At 44.1% G+C, this 13332-nt stretch overlaps 1 long non-coding RNA gene across 6 annotated transcripts in view; it reads left to right on the forward strand.

Moving 5' to 3' along the window:
- Positions 1 to 13332, forward strand: part of LOC105378654 (uncharacterized) — a 77745-nt gene that overhangs the window by 6851 nt on the left and 57562 nt on the right. The gene's annotated exons all lie outside the window — the stretch shown is intronic.

Consider the following 13332-nt stretch of genomic DNA (forward strand, 5'->3'; position numbering starts at 1 on the left):
TTACATGAGGAATTGGCTCAAATGCCCATGGTCTCCACTCCTGCCACCCTGCCTTCTCTCCCCCAGGCTGCACCAGTGGCCTCATGGGGAGTTTCCTATGATTAGTTGACAGAGGAAGAGAAGATTAGGGTTTGGTTCACAGATGGTTCTGCACAATATGCAGGCACCACCCGAAAGTGGACAGCTGCAGCACTACAGCCCCTTTCTAGGACATCTCTGAAGGACAGTGGTGAAGGGAAATCTTCCCAGTGAGCAGAACTTCGAGCAGTGCACCTGGTTGTGCACTTTGCATGGAAGGAGAAATGGCCAGATGTGCAATTATATGCTAATTTATGGAGACTCTAGCCAATGGTTTGGTTGGATGGTAAGGGACTTGGAAGAAGCATGCTTGGAAAATTGGTGACAAAGAAATTTGGGGACGAGGTATGTGGATGGACCTCTGTGAGTGGTGAAAAACCATGAAGATATTTGTATCCCATGTGAGTGCTCACCAGTGGGTGACCTCAGTAGAGGAGGATTTTAATAATCAAGTGGATAGGATGACCCATTCTGTGGACACCACTCAGCGTCTTTCCCCAGCCACCCCTGTCATCGCCCAATGGGCCCATGAACAAAGTGGTCTTGGTGGCAGGGATGGAGGTTATTCATGGGCTCAGCAACAGGGACTTCCACTCACCAAGGCTGACCTGGCTACAGCCATTGCTGAGTGCCCAATTTGCCAGCAACAGAGACCAACACTGAGCCCTTGATATGGCACCATTCCTCGGGGTGATCAGCCAGCTACCTGGTGGCAGGTTGACTATATTGGACCTCTTCCATCATGGAAAGGGCAGAGGTTTGTCCTCACCGGCATAGACACTTACTCAGGATATAGGTTTGCCTGTCCAGCATGCAATGCTTCTGCCAAGACTACCATCCTTGGACTCGTGGAATGCCTTATCCACTGTCATGGTATTCCACATAGCATTGCCTCTGACCAAGGCACTCACTTTATGGCTAAAGAAGTGTGGCAGTGGGCTCATGCTTATGGAATTCACTGGACTTACCATGTTCCCCAGCATCCTGAAGCAGCTGGATCGATAGAACAGTGGAATGGCCTTTTGAAGTCACAATTACAATGCCAACTAGGTGACAATACTTTGCAGGGCTGCAGCAAAGTTCTCCAGAAGGCTGTGTGTGCTCTGAATCAGGGTCCAATACATGGTACTGTTTCTCCCATAGCCAGGAGTGTCCAGGAATCAAGGGGTGGAAATGGAAGTGGAAGTGGCATGACTCACCATCACTGCTAGTGATCCATGAGCAAAATTTTTGCTTCCTGTTCCTGTGACATTATGTTCTGCTGGCCTAGAGATCTTAGTTCCAGAGGGAGGAATGCTGCCACCGGGAGACACAACAATGATCCCATTAAACTGGAAGTTAAGATGGCCACCTGGACACTTTGGGCTCCTCCTACCTTTAAGTCAACAAGCTAACAAGGGAGTTATAGTGTTAGCTGGGGTGATTTACTGGACTATCAAGATGAAATCAGTCTACTACTCTACAACGGAGGTAAGGAAGAGTATGCATGGAACACAGGAGACCATTAGGGCGTCTCTTAGTATTACCATGCCCTGTGATTAAGGTCAATGGAAAACTACAACAGCCCAATCCAGGCAGGACTACAAATGGCCCAGACCCATCAGGAATGAAGGTTTGGGTCACTCCACCAGGAAAAAAACCCCACAACCTGCTGAGGTGCTTGCCGAAGGCAAAGGGAATACAGAATTGGTAGCAGAAGAAGGTAGTCATCAATACCAGCTACAACCACGTGACCAGCTGCAGAAACGAGGACGGTAATTGTCATGAGTATTTCCTCCTTCTTTTGTTAAAAACATGTTTGTGCATGTATACACTTGTACTAAGAAAATATCTTCATTTTATTTCCTTTTTCCTTTATCAAGTGACATAAGATTTATTGACTTCATATCAGCATTCAAGTATTGTTAACTTTATGTAATAGTATTTGGGGATTGGTGTGTTTCTGGTTGTAAGAAGGATAGTTGTATTATATTAGGCATAATTATGACCTTATTATTGTCTTTATTTGAAGATTATGTATGATCTCAGGAGATGTGTATGGGTTCAAGTTGACAAGGGGTAGACTTGTGATGGTTAATGCTGAGTGCCAACTTGATTGAAGGATAGAAAGTATTGATCCTGGGTGTATCTGTGAGGGTGCTGCCAAAGGAGATTAACTTTTGAGTCAGTGGGCTGGGAAACATAGACCCTCCCTTAACTGGGTAGGCACCATTTAATCAGCTGCTAGTGATTATAAAGCAGGCAGAAAAATATGAAAAGGAGAGACTGGCCTAGCCTCCCAGCCTACATCTTTCTCCCATGCTGGATGCTTTCTGCCCTAGAACATTGGACTCCAAGTTCAGTTTGGGACTCGGACTGGTTCTCCTTGCTCCTCTGCTTGCAGACAGCCTATTGTGGGACCTTGTGGTCATGTAAGTTAATACTTAATAAACTCCCCTTTATATATCTATATCTATATCTATCCTATTAGTTCTGTCCCTCTAGAAAACCCTAATACACCCAGGCCTGAGGATGATGAAAAGGCCTCTACCTTGCAAGATGCCATGTATCATGTACCCTCCCCCAATTCCCGCCCCAGCTTATGGTCTCCCACCTCCTCTTCCAGCAACCAGACCAATAACTTGGGTTAAGCTGCAACATAACCTGGCTGCTAAGGGAAGAAGTCACTGCAGGATGCAGCCAGTGAATACCAGCAGGAGCCGGGAGTTTAACTTCATTTCTCTCTTGCATCATTGACAGGCTTGCCACCTCTGGTTTCCACCCTGCTGCTCTATCTTCCATGTTGCTGTTACAGGGATCTTTTCAAACAGATATCTCGCCACATCTCTGCCCTGCTTAGAACCCTTCAGTGGCTCCCCCTGTGGCCTCAGGACAAAGCCCCCATTTCTTCACTCAGTGCTGCCTCATCTCTTACCCCCTTTTCTATGTATTCCTCTTTTGGTACTTGCCACGTCTGTTCCTATGTTGGCACTTTGCTTTTGCAGCTTCCTTGCCTGGAAACTCTCTCCCCTTCCTCACTTCACTGGGGACTTTCATATCTCAGTTCAAGGGCCACTGGTGCTCCTCCTGCAGAGACATGTGTTCTCCAGCTCCCCTCTTCAGGGCTGGCTCCTCTCTCCTGGGCTGCTGAGGGCATAATAGGCTGCAGAGGGCTCTCAGCCACTTCCCTCCCTGGGGACTGCCTGCAGCCAGACAGCTGCCTTCCCTAGGGTAATGCCCCCTCTGGGGACCAGCCCACAGTTACTGGTGGCTGAGAAGGACTCAAACACCTGCCTCCTTTCACTGAGTTTGGGACAACCTTGAATCCCTTCCTACCTTCAGAACTTCTCATAGCTGAGGTCTAAGTTGCAACCATATTACTGGGCCAATCCCAGCTTCCTCCGTCTTTATAGGCGGATCCCTCCAGAGCAACCCTCCTGCTGCAATGAACTTCATGCAACTGTGTTTCAAAGTCTTTCCAGAGATAACACCTTTTAAAGCATTCTTAGATTTTCTTTCTCTGGGATCTCTCAGAACCATGCATATATATTTGATATTGTGTATTTTTCAGTTATCTGTTGCTGTGTAACAAGCCATCCCTAAATGTAGTGATTTAAAATAATGATATGTTTTTTTTCTTGATTTTATGGGTTGACTGTCCTCAGCCAGGCAGCTCTGCATCACCCAGTGTAGCTTAGGCCACTCATGTGTCCGCATTCACCTGGGAGCTCCACTGTAGCTGGAATGTCCAGGATGGCTGCTCATCCTCCAGGATATCTGTCCACATGGCCTTTAATCATCCACTAGTCTAGCTTGGGCTTCCTTATACTATGGTAGCTGGGTTTCACGAGGAAGAAAGTGGAAGTGGCCACTTCCCTTAGGGATTGGTCTTATAAGGTTTAGAATCTCACTTCTGTCATACTTTCTTGTCAAGGCAAGTAACAGGCCTGCCAGATTCAAGGGGAGGGGAAATAAGCTCCACCTGCTGATGGGAGGAGCATCATTTGCATCTAGGGATGAGAAGGAGTAAAGGAAACTATCTACCACAGCATGTAACACCATGACACTGGGAACTCCTTGAGGGCAGGGATTCATCTATATAGCATCGTCCCTAACCCACGCACTTCCAGGAGCTGTCAGAGATTTCTGATGACAGAGTGAGCTCCAGCCCCAATATTACTCATTCTGTGTTTGGCCCCCATAGATCCTGGGCAGGAGGTAAAGAGGTAGTGAAGCCAAGCCACAGGTTGTCAGCTGCCTCTCTGGGGACATCGCTTTAATTTCCAAGATAGCAGTCCAAATGCTGTCTGGAGTCTATTTCTGGGCACAGACTCTGCCCCTGGGGCATGAGTAGGGCACATTTTATTCAGCCACATGGTTACCCAGGGCCCCAGAACCAAACACAGGCTTAATAATTAAAGCTTGTCTCTTCTCTGTCATGTCATTGTACATTTAGAGCATGTGGAAGTCATTAGTGTTGTTTGTCAAATATTTCTGGCAATGCACCTGCTGAACACATGAAAGGATTGCACTTCTTGGCCCTCTTGTGGTTGGGTGAAGCCTAGTGATTAATTCTGGCCAATGAGTTGTGAATGGAAGTGACTTGTGCCATATATGGACATTTAATTGCTACATGAAGCCCTTCAGAGCTCTTTCCCTCTGCCTTGGAGACTGGCAATGTTCGAGATGGTGTCTGCTCCATCAGTTGAGTGAGGATACATGGAACAGAGCCCCAACCAACCCATGATGCACAAGTGGCATGAGTGAGAAATAGTATTTGCTGTTTGAAGCTGCTAAGATTAAGGGATTGTTTGTTATGGCACCATGACTGAGCCTATCCTGTGTGATACAAGGGCCCTGACTCATCTTGAGCTCAACTTAGCATTTAGATATATCTGGAGCGGGATAGAGGCAGGGCTCTGGGGAAAGAACTCACCTTCAGGGAAGAAGGAATAGAGACTGGAGTAGATACTGTGGTAGGAATCCAACACTATATTAGCAGCCCAACTAATATAAACAACTAATATATTAACATGTGTTAGAGTTGTAAAGACGTCATAGTAACACTGAATGGAATAAATATTCAGGAAAGTGGGACCATTAAAAAGATTCCTACCCCTGCCTCCTACATGTACGTTTCTTTCCTTCCCCTCCCCCTCCCCCAAATCCCCTCATTCACTGCAAGGGATTTGAATAGTTGTCGTAAAGGCAGAGTGATTTGAATGCCCAGACATTTGCATATGGGCTTTCCTTCTGTTGCTTTCTTTATTCTAGTTCGGTGGCTCTCTAACTTTAGTGTGCCTAAAAATTTCTGTTCATGGCTGTATAAACAAACCCATGTATACTGTACTTTATGAGTGGTTTGAGTTTTTCAAGGGTACTTTAGACTATATGCAGTTCTTGTCTTATGCACAGACTTCAAAATCTAACCTCTGTGTAAGATGATATTCCATTGTTCAAAACCAAAAGAACCTTGTAAATTTTATGAGACACGGAGGGCACAAGATGTCAGCAGCAGCTGCTTGTAGGCCATTATCCACCCATCCCCCAAGTCCTGTTGATTTTACACCCATGGTCTAAGCCTCCATCATCTCTTTCCTGGATTACTGTGAAGGGCTCCTAACTGCCTTTTTGCTTCTATTCCTGTTCCATCCAATTCATTGTCCATACCAGAGCCATCGTGATCCTTTCCAAACACCAATCTGGTCACGTTCGTTCCCCGGTCTGAATCTCTTCACTGGCGTCCCATTGCGCTTACCAAGAAGATCGACACTTTTAATGTGTTCTTAAGACCACAGGATTCAGCCTTGCCTGCCTCTCCAGCTTCATTTCACAGCAGTCTCCCCTTTGGCCTTTTACTTTCACCGACACATTCCTGTCCCTCTCCCCCATCGCAGAGCCTTGGCACCTGTTATACCATCTGCTCAGAATGTTCTTCCCCCACCCTCTCCTTTTTGCCTGGTTAACTCCTACGCATGCTTCAGATGTCAGTTCAAATGTTACGTCCTTGGAGAAGCATTTAAGCCAGCTTATTCTTTATTTGCTCTCATAGAATGTGTTGCTTTCCTTCAGAATATTTATGTCAGTTTGTAATTATATACTAATTTGTTTGATTATGTGATGAACACTTGTTTCTTCCACTAGAATGTAAGCTCTAGGAGAGCAGGGGCCATGGCTTCCTTGTTATTCTTGTATTCCTAGCACATGCAATGTATGTTTGCTGCATGAATGATTGAATGGTACCATAGTGGTTTCAGTGGCAGTGATAGTGGCTGCGGAACTGAAGCAGTGATGGCATATCCATTTCCATCTGTTTTGGGCTATTATTTACTCTTATTCTCACCTCTAGCTTCTGTGGCCTGAGAAATAGGAATTATCTCCAGATGCAAAAACCAAGACCCAGAGAGTAGACAAGACTCAGGGCCAGTGAGTGGTGGAGTCAGATCCAGAATCTGCTCTCCAGATGCTAGGAGTAGAGTTCCTTCTCAGACACCGTACTACTTTCTGGCCTGTATTCTGACAAAACAGATGCCTCCTAAGGTCTCCAGTGTGGATGACTTGTGGGGTACTGATAGCAAAGTAGCATCTTTTACAAACAGTCCTCCTACCTCTCTTCCTCTTTTTTCTCCTTTTCATCTTTCTCTTCTTTTTCCTCTCATTTGATTAAAAAGTCATTTTTAAAAATAAGGTCAGCATGGCTGAGACTTTTTGAAATGTTTGGGCTGTGGTCAGCCCAAAAAAACTAGACTGAGCACAGTTTGCCTAGTTAGCCCCACCTGTGGGGCTGGTGAGGACCCGTATGTAGGATTAAGGCAGAAAACCTCAGACTTCAGGAAATGTGCTAATGCCAATTATTGCTTGTTAAGGCTTTAGGGTTTGATGGCACTTATGTGGGTTGGGGGCAAGACTTCTCTTAGAAGGGACTGACATTTCAATTTCAGTCGTTCTGGGAAGAAGTGAATCCTGGAGCAGAAAATGAGGAGGTATGTGGTAGAATTTAGCTGGAGGGGACATTTTCCTCCTCTTTCTGGAGACTTGGTTTAGTTTGTTCTGGATTCTGAGGCCTGGAGGTAACTAGAGCATTATATTAGTTAAGGCAAGGCCAGCTGCTCTAACAGATAAACCTTTAACATCTTGGTATCTTAACAGAAAAAAGTTTATTTTTTATCTCCAAAATAGATGTTCTGATAAGTGGTGGTTTTCTTCCAAGTGGCAATCAGGGACCCAGGCACCTTCCATTTTGTGGCTCTCCCATTCTTAATGGAGAGAGTCTCAAAGTCACCTAGAAGCAGAAAAACTAACCGGGGTCAGGTCTCAGCATAGCTTGAGCAGGTAAGTACAGACCCTGCTCCAGGAGTAAATAGCTCATTCACCAAAATTGCTGAATAAGCTGCCGACATGTACCAGGAGGAACCAGGGGGATCCATGTAGAGGTGGATCCCAGACTCGGGCGGGGTTGGGGGTGGAAATATAAGTGTAGATCAGGGAGTGTGTATTGATCTAGGAATCCTTTCCTGGGATTAAGGATTTAATGCCTGGCAAGGACACTTGGAGTCAGTGCTAATATGCTGCCAGGATGTCTCCATGAAGCTTGGACCTGCAGCTAATTAGATGGAGGGATGCTGGAATTGCTGGTAGAGTATTGAGGAAGGAGTCAGAAGACTTAGAGATGTGATGTGAGACTATGATACCCACTGACTATGTTTTCTAGAAAAGTCCGAAGGATACTTCCCTCACTAAAGCCATAAGAAAGGCACTAGTTATGGATATACAATATTATTGAGGAGCTCAGTAGTGGCTATCTTCTGCAGGCAGGGTTGACAGTAAGAGATGCTGCACTGGAACTGGGCTCCTCGATGACAATGGGAATGATGGAATTTTGGAATAGGAGAGACCATGTGCCAGCGGGAAATAGAGGAAAGGTGGACTTGTTTGCCACATCAAGCAGTAGAGTCAAGTGGCAGCTAGAGGTCTTCACCCAAAGGATCTGTGCTGATAGCTAATAGACCATGTTCCTAGGAGCTGGACATATGGACAGCCCACAAGGTATTACTTACCTTATATAACCAAAAAAGGTCAAGAACAGGTGAGCCAAAAAGATCAAGGCCTATGGCAGCTTCCATAATAGAAAATAATGAATCTTTAGCCATTTTCCAAATCTGAGCCCCTTTTCAGACCCAGAGTCCATTGATTGAGGAGGAGGCCCTGTCCCCTTGAGGAAGGACTCTGCAAAGCCACTTCAATTATTTACAATAAATGTCTTCCCAATCCTTCTCCAAAGAGACTTACAGCTATTTATCAGAGTACCTGTACATGAGGGAAAGAGGAAACAATAAAATTTTTTGAGAGCTGTTGGGTATTGAGTCAGCTGGGGATGCAAATGCCACAATCACTCCCATATTAGAATTGGGCATATTGAGGGCAGGTGATAAGGGAACCCTGGTTTAACTCTGTCTTACAGTGGGTCCAATAGATGCCCACACTGAAGGTTTGTTCATTTTCCTCGTTTCTGAGTATGTAATTAGCATGGATATACTTAGTAGTTGACAAAACCTTCATATTGGTTCTGAAGCCCAAGTTGAGATCTTTTAAAATGCTCTTTAACTCTTTGGCCAAGATATTAAATCCAAAGCAATTCCATATCTTAGGTGGCATTGTAGAAATTAGTGCTGCCACCAAAGGCTTAAAGGATTTAGGAATTGGTTTTCCCCACCACATTCCCATTCTATTTATTGATAGGGACCCTAGAAATCCAGATTGGTCAAGGATAATGACCAGTGGACCATCAAAACAAGGGGGAGTTCTGATTGTAGCTGCTGTGCTGGATATGGCATATTTACTAGAACAGATCAACATAGCCTCCAGCATTTGATACATGGTATTTGATCTTTTCAATTCACATCAGAAAAAAGGATTAGAAGCAGTTTGTATTCATATGAGAAGGATAGCAATATATATTTACTGTCTTGCCTCAAGGCTATGTTGATTTTCTTGCTCTTTGTCACAATATCATCTAAAAGGACTTTGATTGTCTTGACATTCCAAAAACATCATGCTGGTCCACTATACTGATGGCATCATTCTCAACAAATCCAACGAACAGGAAGTGGCAAGTAGTTGGACGTTCTAGTAAGAGACATTTATGTCAAGAGGACATATAGCTTACGCAGATTCAGAACTTGAAGCACTGATCAAGCGTTTGTAGGTATGGCTCCTTGAATCTCCTACCATAAAGAAGGAGGCATAGTTCTTGGTAGGCCTATTTGGAGTTTTGAGGTAGTGAATACTTATAGTTGGGAATAGTGTTCTAACCCATTTATTGAGTGGCCCAGGAAACTGTCAGCTTTGAATGGGTTTTAGATCAAAAGAAGACTCAGCAACAAGCCTGGGCTGCAGTGAAAACTTCTCTATTTCTTGTGCCATAAGACCTTGTAAACCAATAGTGTTAGAGGTATCTGTAGTCTGGCAAGCTTTATCAGGAGACTCACAGGGGAAATCCTTAGAGTTATAGAGCAAGGCTATGCCTTCTTTAGTAGAGAACTACTCAATGCTTGAAAAATCAGCTTCTGGGGTGTTACTGGGCCCTAACAGAAACTGAGCACCTGACCATAGACCATTAAGTGAATATATGGCCAGAGCTGGCCATCATGAGCTAGGTATTATCATATCTGAGTCACAACGTTGGCTAGACACGTTAGCAATCCATCGTATGAAGGAAATGGTACATTTGAGTCAGATCTGAACAGGTTCAGAGGCTCAAGTAAGTGCATGAACAGGTGGGATAGATTCCCATGTCATCTATCTTTGTTGAACCAACACCTTCCTTTCAGCTCATATATATCCCCTTGTCAGGAGATTCCCATGACTAGCTAGGAGATTCCCTCCTCCCATGGAGGAGGAAAAATCCTGGGTTGATTCAAACATGGGTCAGTTCAATATAGTGGTGACACTAAAGGGCAGTGTTGACAGGAGATCTTTAAGCAGTACAGTTAGATCATTAACTTTTTATGGAGAAAGGAGTGGTCTGACATGAGTATATACATAAAGTTTTGGGCAATGGCGAATTGCTGGGCTAATTGGTCAGGGGCCTGGAAGAAGCAAGATGAAATGATCAGAGCTAGGGAGTCTGGGGATAAAGGACACGGATGGCCCTATAGGAATGGACACAAAATTTTGGTATTTTTGTGTCTGATATTAATGCTCATGAGAAAGCATCCAATGTAGAAAAGGTATCAAACAACTAGAAGACAAGACTTGTCCATTGAGTGTCAACAAGCCTCTGTCCTCAGCTGTCCCATGTATGGTGGCAGGGATGGAGGATCTGCATAGGCTCAATAATGTGGGCTTCCTCTCACCAAGGCACATCTAGCCAATGCAGCTGCTAAATGTGTGACTTGTCAACAGCAGGGCCCAACATCGAACCCTTAGCATGGTACTGAGCCTTATGGAGAATGTCCAACCATTTGGTGGCAACTGCCTCTGGAAGAAGCAACAATTTGTCCTTACTGAGATTGACAAAACTCTGGACATGGTTTGTCTTCCTTGCCCATGGTGCCTATGCCAGCACCACTACCCAGGGGCTTACAGAGTGATTAGTGACATGGAATTCTACATAGCATCTTCTCAGATCAAGACCCCCCACTTTACAGCAAAGGAGGTATGACAATGGACAAATGGCGTTGGGATGCATTGGTCCTATTATATACCAAATTACTTGGAAGCTGCTGGCTTTATAGAATGTTATGTTATAATCATCCGTTAAAAACTCAGTTAAGGTGGCAGTTTGAGGAATCCATAAGTCTAGAATTCTGTTCTCCAGGATGCAGTGTATACATTACACTAATGGCCATTGAGTAGTGTTGTGTTACAATGGCTAGAATATATGGATCTAGGGATCAAGGGGTGAAAGTGGGATTGTGCCCTTTCACCATCATTTCCAGGGACGAACTTGGGGGAACCTGTGCCTCTTATCCTAGAATCTTAAGGCTCTGTGGATTTATAGGTCTTGGTCCCAAAGGATGGGGCACTTTCACTAGGGGAAATAGTAAGGATTCCATTGAACGTAAAACAAAGATTCCTTCCCACCAATTTATTTTGGGTTCTTTGTGCCAGTAGACCAGCATACAGAGAGAGGAGCTAGATTTGCTGTTACATAATGGGGACAATGAGGAATATGTCTAGAACTTTTCTACCCTCCCTGTGAACTTTCCCCATTCCCTACTTTACTTGTGCCTCTTGGGAACTATCTCTTGCACCCAAGTTCATGTGAATATATGGCCAGAGCTGTACTTTTGAGAGATTACAGTAAGACAGTCACATTTAAAATTTTGTCATAAGTGCAATGGAATTCGTTGAAGGGTTTTAAGCAAGGGTGGCACATGATCAGATTTGCATTTTAAAAAGATCACCTTGGTGGCTGTGTGGAGAGTAGATTGGAAGGATTGGAATGGATTTAGGAAGTCAGGAGGCAGTTATAGTAGTCAAGACATAAGATGGTGGTGATTTGGACTTGTATAATGGTTGTGGTAGAGATGGAGAGAGAAGTTGGTGGACTCAGGATATTTTATAGTGAACAGAATCAATAGGACAAGAGTTCCCTTTGTCTGTTTCAGATCAATTTGTTTAGAACTTTGCCTTAGTGCATGCACAGATGTTTGTCTGAGCACTCCTTGTCCTCTCTAAGGCCAGTCAGTGGCTCTAGGGAAAGCCCTGCTTAGATCTCTTACTGGCAGCTGCTTCCTGGGAGGAAAGGGCTGTATGTATGAATTAAATAATTTTACCATTGAATATTGAAACCCCATCATGCTCAAGAACCCTGCGGTGAGACCTCTCTAGCTTAGCCTAACAGAGAGAGATGTTTCTCTCTTTAGGATAGCCAAGACTCCAAGTTTCAGTTCTGTTTGAGCCACCCAGAGTGGCAACTCTGCAAAACTCTTGAGTTCCAAGGCTATGGTGTTTAGTTGATTTTCACTGTGATGAAGGGGGTCAAGGACTGGTTTGTGGAAACACGATGGCGACCTTTGAGATTCTCAGAGTTGGAATCTCTGAGGAAGTAGAGTTGAAGACAACTCTTCAAAAGACTGGATTTCCTGTTATCAGTCAGCTGAGGGCTCCAAGTTCTCAGAGTAATGAGACTGCCTTGGTGTTCAGGGGCTAGTCAAGCCCGATGCATTTGGATTACAATGTTTATTATTTCTTGGATCTCCTGGAATGATTTTGGCTACCCAGGCAATCTCCCTAGAGCCTGAATTCCCCATGGCCTGCAGAATGTAATATCTAAAGATGGTGATAGTGGTGTCTCAGAATGACTGAGGCCTGGTGATTGGCCACTTGGGACTTAGTAGGGACTCAGTAGGGACTCAGTAGATGTGTGCTGGGTGATGTGAGAGGTGGGGCAGAGCCTGATAATTCCCAGGATTCTAGCTTAGGTGACTGGGTGGTGGGACATTGAATTTAGTTTTGGATATACTGAGGAACATCCAGGGAGTCTTGCTCAGCAGGCTGTGGAATATATTTGTATTTCTAGTGTCTAGAATAATGCCTGGCATGGTAGGAACTCAATGAATAATTGTTCAACTGTATTTGTTAAATTCTTCTCTCCAATTCCCCCAGCAACTCAGTGATCGATCAGGAGAGTTGTCACAACTTTTTATTTAGGATAATTGAATCCCTAGGTGAGAGGTGAAGTTGGTTAAGGTTGAAGACCTCTTGCTGATGAGCATGTCTTGGGATAGTCTCCACAAAGCACTTGATTCATTGAAGCCTCCTTTGGATATTCAAGGAGGTGAAAGATGAAGACCCACAGGTATCCTGGGACTTAGCTTTTTTGAGTGAGGTGGATTGGGATATGGGTGTGAAGTAGGAAAGGCAATTCCCTCTTTCCAGATCAGGATTCTACCGTAATCTTTCTGATTGTAGAGGTTATAAGTACAAGCTTTGGAGTTGGATAACATGGGTTCAGTCTTCAATCTGCCATTTTCTAGCTTTGTGACCTTGGGAAAGTTATTTAAGCTTCAGGCCTTATTTTCCATATTTGTAAAATAAAGATATTTATATCATCTACCTCATAATGTTGTTGTGAGAATTAAATGTTATAAAGCATGTAAGATGCTTAAATGTTGGCATATAGAAAGCATTCAATAAATGCTACCAATAATTCAATAATGCTACTAACCATTAAATAATCAATCATAGTAATAATTGTTTTTATTTTTCCAGCAACATCATGCATTCTTTATACTTCTTCTAATTTATGAAAAAGTATCAATATTATTA

This window comes from Homo sapiens, chromosome 1, assembly GCF_000001405.40.
Source record: "Homo sapiens chromosome 1, GRCh38.p14 Primary Assembly".
Classification (NCBI taxonomy): Eukaryota; Metazoa; Chordata; class Mammalia; order Primates; family Hominidae; genus Homo; species Homo sapiens.